The sequence below is a fragment of the Homo sapiens genome, chromosome 6, assembly GCF_000001405.40.
Source record: "Homo sapiens chromosome 6, GRCh38.p14 Primary Assembly".
Classification (NCBI taxonomy): Eukaryota; Metazoa; Chordata; class Mammalia; order Primates; family Hominidae; genus Homo; species Homo sapiens.
Window position 1 is genome coordinate 135,183,325 of NC_000006.12, and position 15,247 is coordinate 135,198,571.

The window sequence follows — 15,247 nt, forward strand, 5'->3', positions numbered from 1 at the left end:
CACAGTAGCGGCCACAAGGCACTTCCTCCCGCTCCCCTCCCTCTTCCTAACCCCCAGCACCTCTTTTCTTTTTCGTTTCTTTGCACGGTTTGTTTCCTTGACAGAATGTAACATTCATAGTTGTACTCTTGTAACCACACCGGGTCTAGCAGGTGGGGAGTCGAGTGCATCAACCCTGAAATCAGCCTTTGAAAATCCTCTGACTGTTGGGTCTGAGATCTTGTCAGAGCAGATAAAGGAAAAGTTATTTCAGGTTCCTTAGTAGAAATTAATCATGCTTCTAGGACGACTTAGAGCAAGCAAATCGCATGCAAAGTTCAAAGGCGAGCCTGGGTGGCCAGCCTGGCAGGGAAACTCAGGAGCTGGGCGCGTGAGCAGCCCCGGACTCGCCCTGCTGCGTCCTGGCCCCTTCAGGTCCTGCAGAAGTCACTCTCCACCTTGCCCCCAAGACCTTAGTTTTGCACATCTTTGCCTCTGTGCTTAGCTTTTAAGAGGCACGGAAGGACATGGCATGGTCATGTATTAGCGCTGGAAAGTACCTTAGAAATAGGATCCAAGCAAGCCCTTATTGTAAAGGCGAGGAACTGAAGTCTTGAGAGAGAGGAAGTGATTTGTCCAAGTCATACAGCTAGGTGGAGGCTAGACTAGAACCTTTGCCTCCAGAACCCTAGTCCTGTTGATTCCCGTGCTCTCACCTGACGTTGGCTGCCCCCTGCGGGCGGCTGAATAGGTTGCTTGTTCCTGGGTTGTTAAACCGCTGCGGAGAGAGAGGTGCTCAATGACTACTCTGAAAAATGTGCTCAGTTCTGAAAATGTGACCTCTAGATCCAGCCAAACCTGAAAAGTTAATTCGACTTGAATCTATGACTGCAGTTTCAGATTCCTCTGGTTTTCTTGGTGTCTCTCACATTTCACAAGGGACTGCATTTGGGGTCTTTCCAAGGAGTTCCCTATGAATCTTTCAAAAGATGCAGACTTACACCTCTGGGCTTTATAGCTTTTTTTTTTTTTTTTTTTTTTTGCTTTATCATATCGTGTTTTACATTTTTGTAGTTCTTGTTCAGAAGTTGTTTAGTGCCTCCTGTTGACAGTGGAAACAGAACTAGGCTATTGTTTCAAAACACAGACACTAAATGAAAGGAATTATTACAGATTATAAATATATATTTCCTGGGATTTTATTTGGTGGTGGTGGTATTTTAAATTTGGATTACATCATGTCGCCATTCAACCTGGACTATCAGATTGTTGCTTAAAATAATAGCTTTAAATTATGAGAACCCCCAATTCAGGATTTTTGGTAAGCACTTCAGCTTCACTTGTAGGGGGCTGGTAATATGCATACCAGTGAGTTAGTTTGGGAAGACAAAACCTGTAATGAATATAACTTTTCTTTTTAAAAACAATGATTTACATTATGATATGGCTTTATATCATTGTTTTTATTGGTCTTAGTTTAATGGGTTTCCCAACATTGCAATGACAAATTTTAGTGAAGTTTCTAAGATAGTATTTTTCCTATTTTAAGTTTTATAAGAAAAACTATAAAATAAACCGTGTCTGTAAAATTATTGTCATCTGATCAGTTGATTAGATTAACAAACATTATGATTATGATTAACAAACAGTAAGCATATAGTTACTTCTTCAAAAGTCATAAAATTTCCTAGGTTAGGTTAACTAAATAAAAGAAAAAGCTTTCGAAAATAGTAATGGGTTCTTTTAAATCCATGGCTTTTTTCTGGGGAAATCCCTTCTGGATTAGGTTACATTTTATAATATTTCAAACACCATTCCATCAGAGACAGAAAAAACAAGAGTAAGTAAGACTCTGACTAACAAGTGGCCTAATTATTCACTTAGTTACTCTAGAAACTAAGTATTGTAAACATGGGCACAAGTTGGATCAACCAGGCCTGGAGTTGTGAGCAATTTGGTATTAATTTTATTTACAAAACATTAAAGCTTGATCACTCAATGTTCTTATCTTTGCTTTGGTTTTAAAATCCTTTCCTCTTAGATTCTCCTAATCCTCTAGACTTTATGGGATCACTATAATTCTGTTTTGCGCTGTACTACTTCTTGATTTTTTTCTTCTTTTAATAAAACAAAAACCCCATTGGAATAGCATAGTTGAATTGTTTATTATGTTTGAGAAATATTATTTAAACGATGTGACAGATGCCAAAGATTTTGAGTGTGCACTTATATAAAGGACATGGGTTCTTGTTCCTTTTCTTATCCTTAACCTTAAGTTTTCAACTTAAACCTTCACTGGTTGGAAGGTGGCCAAATGTGTAACTTGTCCCTGGTCTAATAGTAACAGCAGGTTCAGACATGCAGGGGAATAGGAAGGTGCCAGGTCCTTGGCCGTGTCTGTGGATACCCATAACAGCAGAACCAGTTTACAATACTAGAGCAACAGAATGCAGCAAACAATCTTGTTGTGCAAGTTTTCAAAGTTTTGTCTTCATAACCTTTGAAAAGATTGTTGAGGAGTTTTGTGTAAGTTTTGTAATCCAGTAGTAGTCTAAATCCTCTTGTTTCAGCCCACGTCTACCCATTCTTATTTCTGCAGCATATATAGCAGTGACGAGGATGATGAGGACTTTGAGATGTGTGACCATGACTATGATGGGCTGCTTCCCAAGTCTGGAAAGCGTCACTTGGGGAAAACAAGGTGGACCCGGGAAGAGGTAACTAATCATTTTATCAAGACGCAGAAAATAGATAGAGTGTATAATTTATAAAAAACAAAATTTCAACTAAACTACAGGTGCTCAAGCTCATTAGCAGGCTCCTTGAGATCTTATCCTAGCCCGCATGTGCAGCGTGCCCTATGCCCCCCACTTCATTATATTATCCATTTCCACACTATTTGCAGTTCTTTGAATGTCCTCTTCTCATTTTAGGCTTCATCTGTGTTTCCTTTTGCCTGTTGAGTTCTCATCCTTTTGTCCCACCTCTTCTTCCTACTTTTACATTACCCATGAAGGCATCACCTCTTCTGTGAAGCCATCCCTGGCTTCGCCGGACAGGATTGGATGCATCCTCCTGTGATCCCATGCATGGGTGCATGTTCTACTTTATTGTTGCTGGGACATATATACCTCCTCCAGCTGACTGCAAGTCTGTTGAGGGCAGGGCTCTTGTCTATTCATCTTTGTGTTTCCTGAATTCACAAATGCTTGGACCCAAAATAGGATATTAATAAATGTTCTCTCAATAAGTGAATGACTTGCTACTCCCAAAAACAAAACAAACAAAAGAATAAAACAAAACACTCAGAGAACTCATCTTTTTACAGTGTATTGATTTAATATCCTTGATATACTTAACAGAGCCATCTATATGAAGGTATGTTTTAAAATCATCCGATAATGGATGGAGACACATCTGCTTCTCCTGTTTCTTTTTCGGCTGGCTTATCAAAAGTTTGATTTTGTAGGAATGGAAAAATATTTTAGAAGCAAAATTATTAATATGTGGAGAAAAGTTTCTCTAATGTTCTTAAAATTTTTGCAACTAATTTTAGATGATTCATGTTACAATAAATGGTATTGGCTCTTCTTCAGTTTCACTGTTCTCTGCTTCATTTAAACCAGAGCTCCTTTTAACAGGCAGGTAGGATTCCCAGAGAGGCCCATAGGAAATTCATATTTTACCTATTAAGATTATCCACTTGGATAATCCTTATGATACGGAAATTCTGTTGTCAACATTGGTTTCCTAATTCTTGTGTCTGTATTGTACCAGGGACCTCCACTGTGTGTGAATGTTACCTTTGCAGAAACATAAGAAGGAATGCATTTATATACTTATGAACTGGTAGGATTGTGAACAGCATATAAACTAAAAGAACTGATTAGCTGGAAATGTTTAATGTCTTTTATGTTCTAACACATCTGGCCTATCTAAATCTAACTGATTTTCTTATATAGCTTTCAAATTTAATTTTAAAAATGGTCTTTATTTCTTTATAAAAAGTTAAACTAACTGGAAATATTCTATTTCTTGCTCAAGATCCTATTTATTACCATAGGTAAATGTGTACTGAATCTAGCACTGGAATGCATTTTTTCCTAACAGAGTAAAGCAGTTATTTATAATAAACACTCAATATATGCCAGGCATTATGATAAATGTTTTGCAAAATTGCCTCATGTAATCCCCAAATAACCCTGTTAATATCAGCCTCATGTTAATAAATTGCCCCATGTAATCCCCAAATAACCCTGTTAATTTCCATTTTATAGATGGCAATACTAAGGCCCAGAAAGGTAAAATGGTATACCCGCTTTACACAATTAATAGTTGAGTCAAGATGCCAACTCTGGTCTGATTCTAAATAAATCTATACTCCCAAGTCCGTATATTACATTAATATCTCCTGTATTCGGATACTTTAGAGAGACTTTTTATTCTAGATTCGTTCCCTCATTCACTTTAACTTGAACAGAGTTATATAGTAAATAACTGATATCCTAGGATTACCTTTAAATGTCTTAGGATGAAAAACTGAAGAAGCTGGTGGAACAGAATGGAACAGATGACTGGAAAGTTATTGCCAATTATCTCCCGGTAAGTTAGTAAGTTTTTCTTATAACGAAAGGAAAGCTTCTCCCAAAGATTTCTATAAAATATTCTAGGAGGAGTTATTAAGATAGTGTATAATTTACTCACATTTAAGAAGTGGGAGAAATGCCCTACCCATAACTTATATTTTATATTATAATGCATATAATTAAATTATTAGAATTTAGATTATTAGAATCGATTATTATAATTTAGATTATCAAATTTTAAAAACAGTTGCTTCTTGTTTTATCTTTTCATTTATAGGATAATTAGTATTTTGATGATTTGTTACATGGTAGTTGATTAAACTTGATATTTCCTCCAAGTCAGTTTTTCCTGAATTCCCTATTTTTGTCAATAGCAATACTTTTGGCACCAAGGTTTAAAATTCTGAAGACCTTTCTTGACTTATCACATTCCCCCAACCCCTACATCTAAGCAGTTACTAAGGACCCTGGAATTCCTTTATAGTCAGTCCCGTCCTTTTCATTCTCATGGCTGTGCTGAAGGTTGGGCTCCTGCCCTCTCATTTGGACTATCATATAACTTCCTAACTGGCTTCCCCACTTGTAGTTTTCCATTTTTCTTTCTTTTTTTTTTTTTTGTTTTTTGTTTTTTGTTTTTTGAGATGGAATCTAGCTTTGTTGCCCAGGCTGGAGTGCAGTGGCACGATCTCAGCTCACTGCAACCTCCGCCTCCCAGGTTCAAGCGATTCTCGTGCCTCAGCCCCCTTAGTAGATGGGATCACAGGTGCCCGCCACCATGCCTGGCTAATTTTTGTATTTTTAGTAGAGACAAGGTTTCACCATATTGATCAGGCTGGTCCCAAACTCCTGACCTCAAGTGATCTGCCCACCTCAGCCTCCCGAAGTGCTAGGATTGCAGGCATGAGCCACCGTGCCCAGCCAGTCTTCTACTTTTCCATTCATCCCAAACACCATTGGCAGGTGGAACTTCCTAAAATGCAGCTGTACCTTATCTTTTCAAAACCAACCACAGTGACAGAATCTCACAAATTAAGTAAACTGCCTTGACTTGGCACACAGAGGCCCTCCTCTATTGCCCCAACTTACAGCTCCAGTTCTGTTTCCTGCTTCCTCTCTCTAAGCAGGTTTGCTTGAATTTATTTCTGCTTTACCTCCTCTGGGCTTTTGCTCCTGGTCTTCCCACCTCCTAGAATATTCTCCCTTTATGTCACCAATTAAAGTTCTGTCCATCCTTCAAAGTCCTTATGAAGAGCTCTTCAAGACTCCTCCCAAGGAAACCATTTCTCCTCCTAAGAAGATGCTTCTCTCCTCACTTCAGTATCATTTTGCTTTGGTCTTTTCTTCCAAGTGAATCAAATTCAGCATCTGTGATAGTCAGTCATCTACTTGTCTTTTCCTTCTTATAAGTTTACAAACTCCTGTAACATAGGACCTATCTTTTATGCATCTTTTTTCTTTCTGCAATATAAATACTTTGGTCCTGGATTGAAGCACATCTCTTGTCTGAATGGGAAGCAAACTTTAGTCTTTTAGGGTGGTTTCCATGAAAGCCTGACAACATAGAATCTCTATCAAGCCTCAGGCTATGTAGATACTCTGCAAAAGTATCTGAGGTTAAGGTTAACTTGGCAGGCACATGTGTAGTATGATGGTCCTTTAGATCATGTGGCAGGAATGTTTCCCTCAGGAGGCAGAGTGTCTAATTTTAGATGCAACTTTGATATATTACTTGCATGTTCTGTAGCCTGTAAGTAATGAGGGATAGATGGGCTCTAAACATGCTCTAAAATGTTCTTAAATATTTTCACTGCATATGGTCTATGTGTGATTCCTATTACAACAAAAAATTCACGTGCTTATCACATCATATCTTTATGGTGGTGCATACTTTATTTGTCTAGAATCGAACAGATGTGCAGTGCCAGCACCGATGGCAGAAAGTACTAAACCCTGAGCTCATCAAGGGTCCTTGGACCAAAGAAGAAGATCAGAGAGTAAGTTCTTTCTTCATTGGTGTGTGACTCATAATTAAGAATATTCCCAAAATGCTAATATTTTCCTATTTGAGGAAGCAGGTAAAATGGGCAAACAGGAAGTAGAGGACTCTATTCCCATATTTCCAGTGAATGAAAGCAAATTTTGGAAATTTTCTAAAGATCTTGTAACACTGAAGAATGATTATACTGACTCATTACATAACTTTAAAACATAGGTTATTTTTGTGTGTTTATCTGAAGGTGATAGAGCTTGTACAGAAATACGGTCCGAAACGTTGGTCTGTTATTGCCAAGCACTTAAAGGGGAGAATTGGAAAACAATGTAGGGAGAGGTGGCATAACCACTTGAATCCAGAAGTTAAGAAAACCTCCTGGACAGAAGAGGAAGACAGAATTATTTACCAGGCACACAAGAGACTGGGGAACAGATGGGCAGAAATCGCAAAGCTACTGCCTGGACGGTAATAATATGTCAAAAAATATATTGATCGGGAAGAATGAGGGAGTGGGTATTGAACATTCTGCTTTAAATGTATGGTGAGTAAATTATATTTCATCAGTCGTAAGTGTTTTATTAGATAAACCAGCTACATAGCTTTTAGAGATTGAAGACATCTTAGAGTTTATTTGGTTGAGAACTTCCAGGATCCACCTGACAGTGAGCCCTGGGTGAAGACATTTAGCTTTCCCCAGCCTCAATTTCCCCATTTCCAAAATGAATCATACAGGGCCAGTGTTAGGATCAAGTAAAATGAATGTCAAAGGACTTGGTAAACTATAAAACTCTAAATGCATAGAAAGAAACTGAAGACAGTTTGTCTCTGGCAGTTCACGTAGCTGGTTAAGTTACTCAAAGGAACTCAGCTACCATTTTCCTGATAACCATCATTCATTTCTTTTATTTTTTTTAATTATTATTTTTTAGAGACAGAGGCTTGTTCTGTCACACATGAGTGACAGAGTGCAGTGGCATGATCATAGCTCAATACATCCTTGAACTCCTGGGCTCAAGGGATCCTCCCACCTCAGCTTCTTGAGTAGCTAGGACTACAGGTGCACCCCACTACACCCAGCTGATTTTAAAATATTTTTTGTAGAGATGGAATCCTGCTATGTTACCCAGGCTGGTATCAAACTCCTGGCCTCAAACAATCCTTTCACCTCCCAAAGTGCTGGGATTATAGGCATGGGCCACCATACCTGGCCACCAGTATTCATTTCATTATACCACTTTGCTTAATTTTTTACTTCATTGATTAAAGAAATAATGTATTTCTTGAATTCTCATACTACTTCCAGGTTTTTAAATAATGTCAGGGTAATAATGCTTTCTTTTTAATGAACAAGGCAAGAAAATGACCTCATTATGAGGGATAACTATGGAAGCTCATTTTGTCCCATTTTTCCCACTTAAGTAGTATATAACAGATTTTGTTCCTTTGGAAAGCAATACTTTTAATGATAAATCTTGCATTAAAATGATGTAGATCAAAAATATTAAAAATAGTTTTATTCTTGAGCTTCATAATCCAGGAGAAAGTTTATATAGTATTCTCTAGTGATGCTCCAAAGCATTTGCACCCTTGTGGTTCAGTATAAACTTAGAAATTTTAAGAGGTTGGTAAAAAAAGGCCTTTCCTCCCATATGGCCTGAGAGGATACACTGCTGATTCTTCTCAAAATTAACAGGGCTATTGAACTTCCTCTTTCTTTAGCATACATTCCCCCACCCCCATTGAAATAGAAAAAGGGAGACTTAAACGGTTTTTTTGAATTGAGAAACTGTTTTCCTGAGAATGGAAAGACTTTAGTAAAAATGCGTTGCCTTTTGAAAATATACTGGGGGTTAGGATCTTTCCCTTTGGGATCCCATTTTCCACTCTCGTCTCTGTCTGATTCAGAAAACAATTGGGGTGGCTTTCAAAGAGTAGGAGGTTTTTTGGTCTCAGAAGTTCTCACTAGTGCTTTGAGAGATAAAGAGTGAAGTATTCTTCATCAGCAGCATCTTATCATCCACCAGACTTCACCATGTCCCTCTCGTGGTGTGTAGGCCCTGCTGTGCCACATTCAAAGGAGTAATTTCCCCAAGGCAGCTGGAACTTTACATTGTGTTGGAGTCTTGTACCGCGACCGGTCAGAATAAACATGAAGCGTTATCGTATTGAAAATACTCCTTTACCAAGGAAATGGAATGGTTAAAAGATACTGATATTTCTAGAAAACGACATGCATTCCAGATTGTGTAACTAAGAGAAATCTAACTAGGCAATAGAGAAAGCCTGATCTCAGAGGGTGGAGAAGAAGGAAACAATTAAAAAGAGAAAACAACTAATAGGCCCAAGGGAAAGGTCTCTGTTAGAAACAGTTTTCTGTCAATTCACTTTAATCTGAATTGAAATTTTTGTTTGTGAAATTTGTGTGATATATTTCTGTGCAGAACTGATAATGCTATCAAGAACCACTGGAATTCTACAATGCGTCGGAAGGTCGAACAGGAAGGTTATCTGCAGGAGTCTTCAAAAGCCAGCCAGCCAGCAGTGGCCACAAGCTTCCAGAAGAACAGTCATTTGATGGGTTTTGCTCAGGCTCCGCCTACAGCTCAACTCCCTGCCACTGGCCAGCCCACTGTTAACAACGACTATTCCTATTACCACATTTCTGAAGCACAAAATGTAAGCCATTCCTGTGAATCTAGTTTAATGAGAGAGACGGTTAGTTTAGCTCCAGGTAATAATCATACTTTGCAGTTGTATACTTTTCAGAGAACTTTCCTGAGCATGATCATGGCCAGTCTTCACCTATGCCCTTTGAAGTAGATAGGGTGTAGGTATGGTGTGTTACCCCTGGTTTATGTCTCCAGAAACGAGGATGGTAAGCGCTTTGCCCAGGGTGACACAGCTCATAGAGATAGTGCTGACTAGAAAACGAGCTGTCCGATTCTAAATTGCTGCTTCAAATCTAATTTGAAGGCAACCTTTGAATGTAAATTTACTTAAGGTACTATTGAAGAATAGGGGAATGGAGTCGCATTTGTAGATGTAATGTTTTTCTCTTCCAAAACGAAAAGGGAAGGTAGTATTATGTTTAAAGAGGAGAGAGTTTGACACTGAAATTCAGTGGTTATGGTATGTTTCATTCTGGCAGTGATCAGGCAGACATGTCTTAATTTATTCACTCAGTAAGTGTTTACCTTCTTACTCTGAGTCAGGAGCAGAACTTTGTGACATTCATTTTCTGATGTCTCCTTTTAGTCTCCGTTGGATCAGTGTGATCCCTTCCTTATTTCTAGATATTTATATTTAGGGAAAGTGATAATCCATAATAGGTGGAAAAAGAAGAAGAAAGAGGAAAAAAATCGAGAAACTTTAATCTTAAGAATAACAATATTAAATGATAAAACTTACCCAAGAATAGAGAGCTCATATGCAAATTATATGCAAAACATGTTCATAAATAGTTTTTATTCTTCTCTGTCCATGGATTTGACTACAAACTTTACAGAAAGGTCTCAGATGAATAAATTATCATAAGAATTCCTGTGCTTTTTATTAAAACTCAAAATTATTCCAAGAAAAATATTTTTATTTACAAACAGCTGGTGCCATCAATTTTTCCCATAGAAACAATTTTGAAACATTCATTAATGTATTTTATAATATATTTTTTATTGTTTTTTTCATTGTGTTTTTCTCTAATTAAGGAACACTTCCCAAAATTTAAAGTGCTCATCAACACCTCCCAAGGATTTTTCACCATGTTCCTTTAGCTGTTTAGCCATTTTAAAGGCCTGGCTAAATTTCACATTAAAAGGTTTTAAAAATTTGTTTAGTGTATTTTATCAGTAAAGTGTTTTTTTTCTCTCAGTCCCAGAACGAAACCTCAGGAAGCCAAGTCCCCTGAAGCATATGTAGCCCTGAATGACGTGGCCTTTGTTTTGTCTTTTGCATCTAGGTCTCCAGTCATGTTCCATACCCTGTAGCGTTACATGTAAATATAGTCAATGTCCCTCAGCCAGCTGCCGCAGCCATTCAGGTAAGATCATTGATCATTCACTGTTCAAAGCACCACTTTTAAGAAATGCTTATTTCTTTCATCTAAACACATATTTTTACCTGAGCAACTAAAGTAAAAAGGAAAGGGAACATGGAGAGGAGAGCAGAGTCTTGGCCAGCAATCTATTAATCTTGTCTTCTAGAATGAGTTTGCTCTGGAATTTTCTGATTCTTTGATGTTGCAAGGTGAAATAACTCATCAGTCAGCATCCACTCTAGCCTGAGATTTCACATCACTCCCTTAAGTCTGAAATAACATTCACAAAGATTTCTGCAGGAGCCAAATTTGGTTGGTGGTGTTGTCACAGTGAGGCTCTTTGGGCTGTGCGGCACCTCATGACCATATTGGCTACACCCATTGTATTTGCAGCTTCCAATCAGACCTTTGTCTTTATTTCCCTTACTTTGTAATTTCAGAGACACTATAATGATGAAGACCCTGAGAAGGAAAAGCGAATAAAGGAATTAGAATTGCTCCTAATGTCAACCGAGAATGAGCTAAAAGGACAGCAGGTGCTACCAGTAAGACTGTCATCATGTGCTTGAATGAGGGGATAGCAGCTTTGCCTCAGTTTACCTAAGCGCTCTTCTCTTCTAAATATTACACTTAGCAAGGCTCCATATATCCATTCAGAATGTCTCAACACAAGAAGTTGCTTGTAGTAAAATGTAGTTGGTATCAGATTATATGCTGATTAAATTGGAAGCAGTCTTTTTGTAATTGCAATAAAAATGCAATATCCACTTATGATTGTTATCATCAATTTTTTTCTTCAGAAGGACTATAATCAGTTTAAAGACTAGCAAAGATAAAATGAATGAAAATCTGCATTTTCTACAGAGCTATGTATCTATATGGTACCATTTTGGTTTTTTTCTATTATTTTGTTAACCTATATTTTCATATTTTATAATTTCAGACATGATTTGATGCATGTTCAGTATATACATGTAAAAGGTTATATATAAAACCTCTTCATAAATAACATTAGCTGCTCTCTTTTATTTGCATGTGTGAAAGTTATGTGGGCCATTACTGAATTCTGACATCTTTAGCGACTGGGCAGCCAACTGGGATGGCTCCTTGTGCTTTGCAACATACATAGTTAACCAACAAAGACAATAAAAGAGAAGTGATGCCCAGTAGGTATTCCTAGGGGTAAATTTATTTTTTGTTAAATAATAAGATGTTTATGTGCACATGCTAGTTCGACCACTTTTTAACTTTAGTTAATGTTTTGCAATTTCTCCTGTTGTGTGGTCATACTGTAAGGAGACTTCTGTTAATTTGCTCTTCTGCTTTCCTAACCACGTTGATTTGGCAGTGCTTCACTGCATCAGTGCAATCTGTAGCATTAGAAAGGGATAGAAGCAACAAGAATATGTGTAGATCAAAGCAACTCTAACTCCTGAGTCCTCTAGCTTTTTTGTGGTTAGAATGCAAATAGGACAGTTCTTCAGTTCTTCACTCACAGCAAGCATTTATGGACCTTTGGCAAATTATATTAAAGTGGAATTTTAAGACAATATGATAATTATACTTCGAAATATAGACCTATGATTTGACATTTTTACAAAATGATAACAAGGTAATCATATAGGTACAACCTCTAGCACTATTAAAAACAGGGTCTTGCATTGATAAAAGGAAACATCTTGACAACTGTTTCATAGGCGTAAGTTTGGGATGATGCAACTACTCTTATCTTTCCTCCAACAGCATCTGATACCTTGTGCAACTTCATTGCTAAGTTCCTTCTCCCTTTCTTCTGTCCTCTCTTTATTTCTACACCCTTCCCCCTTCCTTAGACACAGAACCACACATGCAGCTACCCCGGGTGGCACAGCACCACCATTGCCGACCACACCAGACCTCATGGAGACAGTGCACCTGTTTCCTGTTTGGGAGAACACCACTCCACTCCATCTCTGCCAGCGGATCCTGGCTCCCTACCTGAAGAAAGCGCCTCGCCAGCAAGGTGCATGATCGTCCACCAGGGCACCATTCTGGATAATGTTAAGAACCTCTTAGAATTTGCAGAAACACTCCAATTTATAGATTCTGTAAGTAGAATTGTGAAGGGAAGTTAACGATTCTGGAAGATAAATTAGAAAACCCATTTCTTAAATCATTGCCATTTTCTATAGCCAAGCTGTTATTAGCATATATTAATGTAAAGGTAGAAGTATGATTTTCATCTTCATGAATATGTTTTTTCAAAGATCTGATTTCATAGCCTACCGAGAGAGACAAAAGTATTTATAAATACTTACAAAATAGGACTTTTGAAGGAAGAGTTTTTTTTCACATTTTCACACTTTTCCTTCAAAAGTCATATTTTTAAAAATAGTCAGATTGATGACTTATAAAGCAGAGCTTGGATTATGGGAACGGAATGGTGTTTGAGTTACTTTTAACTTTTTTTTTTCTTTGCTTACTTCATGGTGCTTCTCTAGAATTTTGTCTTGCTTTTGAACAGCACATTAATGATTTGGCTTACTCAGAGCTGAAAGCAATCTTTTAGTGTATTTGAAGTAATAATCAGCTCCTTGGTCATACCTGGCTCTTTCCACAAAATGGTGATTATTGATTACTGGTCCCATTGCTTCACTGAGATGAATCATCTTTCGTGAAACAAATTTGTATTCAGCACCTCCTCAGCGAACACTTGGTTCCTTTCCCAGTTGATTAAAAATCATTTATTGCACACTCATTGGTTAGGAGATGACCATTGCCGTAATATGCCATCTAGAAAAGGTCTTCATTTTGCTTTCCATTGCATGCAGATGTAGAGTGTCGGGAGGTCCCTGCAGCACATCAGAGGGCCAGCCTTGAGGCAGCCCACTAGACCCTGCTCTACTGCAGTATAATAGAGCAACTGCTCATCTTGAAGCTGTTGCTCAAGAAGCCAAACCAACGGGCCTAGTGTTTGCTTTGCGTTGAGCATCTCTCTCTCAGTGCTGTTTCAGGTGATGATGGCACACACTATCTCAAAGTTCTGTGCCTCCCACATTGTTTCAGGATTCTTCATCATGGTGTGATCTCAGCAGTTTTGAATTCTTTGAAGAAGCAGATTTTTCACCTAGCCAACATCACACAGGCAAAGCCCTACAGCTTCAGCAAAGAGAGGGCAATGGGACTAAACCTGCAGGAGAACCTAGCCCAAGGGTGAACAAACGTATGTTGAGTGAGAGTTCACTTGACCCACCCAAGGTCTTACCTCCTGCAAGGCACAGCACAATTCCACTGGTCATCCTTCGAAAAAAACGGGGCCAGGCCAGCCCCTTAGCCACTGGAGACTGTAGCTCCTTCATATTTGCTGACGTCAGCAGTTCAACTCCCAAGCGTTCCCCTGTCAAAAGCCTACCCTTCTCTCCCTCGCAGGTAGAACACAATTTCTGCACAGCTGTTACTCATTTTCAACAGACACCTGAGCCTTAATAATCTAGAAACTAATACTTCGGAACAAATGACTAATTACTGCTGCCTTTGCTGATTTCATTCTGTCGTTGAATCTAGCTGTTGCTAAGTTATACTGCCTCCCAAAGTTTAGGCTGTCTGCAGGCTAACTGTTGATTTTGGCATCATTCTCTCTCTTTTACTTTTGGGTGGTTTTGAAAGATAGTTGCATGAAACGTACTTTTATTTCCTTCAACACTAGAGTTTAACATTTCTGTCCCTTTCTTTTTCTCCCATCTGATCCCTCCCTTTAAAATTGTTAACATCATTTCTTCCTCGTTGTTCATTTATTCTTATGCGATTCACTGACCCAGGGGAGGAGGGAACCAAATTGTGTTTATATAACATTTGGGTTGCAACTAGAAAATTTAAAGCTAGAAAATTTAAAGGTTCCAATTCATCTTTAAATGGAAGAGTTTGGGAAGAGGATGAGAAACAAATGCTTAAGGAAAAGAACATATTTTTAATTTCAGTTTCTCAACATTGGCTCTTTTGAGTTGTGCCATACTATTTTACTAGTGCAGTTTTTGCCAAGGAATATTTTTATTTCATACAGCTTTTTTAAGGCATGAAAATCACAATTCTTATCAGAGATTTGTGTTCCTAAATTATTTAAATAATTAAATTAATAGATAATTTGGCACTTTAAAACATTTTTCCAATTGTATCTGTTGAATTTGTTTTAAGAACAGATTTAGGTATGATATAGGTATATACATTTGGGAAACACTGAATCAAACAAAGTTACAAGTAGGTTTCTTAGCTGGGCATAGTGGCATGGGCCTGTAGTCCTAGCTACTGGGGAAGCTAAGGCAAGAGGATTGCTTAAGCACAGGAGTTCAAGTTCAGCCTGGTGAACATAGCGAGATCCCATTTCTTTAAAAACTTTCTTTTTTTTAACTGCAGGCCTTCTCAGAGTTATTAATATGCCGTTGTGCCTTGTGAATTTCCAGGAGGAGATTATGATATGTTGTGTTTCCCAAATTTATTTTACCTTGGAATTGTTTAAGGAACACCTAGTTTTTTCCCAGAACTTTAGTGTTCTGAGAGACACAGTTTATTATTCAAGAATTTTCCATATAATGTAAACCTTCTGTAATACTAATTTTGGTTCATAGATTATTAAAGAGAAAAAACAAAGTATGAAAGGAAACTATTAATTATTAACTATTA

The 15,247-nt window shown here is 37.9% G+C and overlaps 1 protein-coding gene and 1 long non-coding RNA gene across 20 annotated transcripts in view, besides 3 other annotated features; one reads left to right on the forward strand and one right to left on the reverse strand.

Moving 5' to 3' along the window:
• Nucleotides 1–15,247, forward strand: part of MYB (MYB proto-oncogene, transcription factor) — a 37,865-nt gene that overhangs the window by 2,017 nt on the left and 20,601 nt on the right. For 4 of the 18 annotated variants that reach the window (NR_134960.2, NR_134963.2, NM_005375.4 and 1 more), the window contains exons 2-9: nt 2,579–2,696; nt 4,510–4,581; nt 6,467–6,559; nt 6,803–7,023; nt 9,000–9,234; nt 10,514–10,594; nt 11,032–11,136; nt 12,424–12,678. Coding sequence is in view for 9 of the 18 variants with exons in the window: in NM_005375.4 (NP_005366.2) it covers nt 2,579–2,696; nt 4,510–4,581; nt 6,467–6,559; nt 6,803–7,023; nt 9,000–9,234; nt 10,514–10,594; nt 11,032–11,136; nt 12,424–12,678 (1,180 nt within the window). In the remaining 9 variants the exon portion in view is untranslated. Of the gene's footprint in view, nt 1–2,578; nt 2,697–4,509; nt 4,582–6,466; nt 6,560–6,802; nt 7,024–8,999; nt 9,235–10,513; nt 10,595–11,031; nt 11,137–11,635; nt 11,758–12,423; nt 12,679–13,401; nt 13,585–13,636; nt 14,000–15,247 lie in introns of all 18 variants that reach the window. The other 14 variants (XR_942444.3, NM_001130173.2, XM_047418834.1 and 11 more) reach the window with 10 other exon arrangements.
• Nucleotides 312–531: an enhancer, noted in NCBI's record as "active region_25101". NCBI's record gives its function as "activates an Ori minimal core promoter by ATAC-STARR-seq in GM12878 lymphoblastoid cells {active_cell/tissue: GM12878}" and the evidence as "EXISTENCE:reporter gene assay evidence [ECO:0000049][PMID:35858748]".
• Nucleotides 842–1,021: an enhancer, noted in NCBI's record as "active region_25102". NCBI's record gives its function as "activates an Ori minimal core promoter by ATAC-STARR-seq in GM12878 lymphoblastoid cells {active_cell/tissue: GM12878}" and the evidence as "EXISTENCE:reporter gene assay evidence [ECO:0000049][PMID:35858748]".
• Nucleotides 8,467–8,761: a silencer, noted in NCBI's record as "tiled region #12483; K562 Repressive DNase matched - State 5:Enh". NCBI's record gives its function as "represses a minimal TATA promoter and a strong SV40 promoter by Sharpr-MPRA in K562 cells {active_cell/tissue: K562}" and the evidence as "EXISTENCE:reporter gene assay evidence [ECO:0000049][PMID:27701403]".
• LOC105378011 (uncharacterized) overlaps nt 12,571–15,247 on the reverse strand; it is a 40,301-nt gene continuing 37,624 nt past the window's right edge. For both annotated transcript variants that reach the window (XR_001744368.2, XR_001744367.2), the window contains exon 3: nt 12,571–12,676. This is a non-coding gene — a long non-coding RNA (uncharacterized LOC105378011). The remainder of the gene's footprint in view (nt 12,677–15,247) is intronic.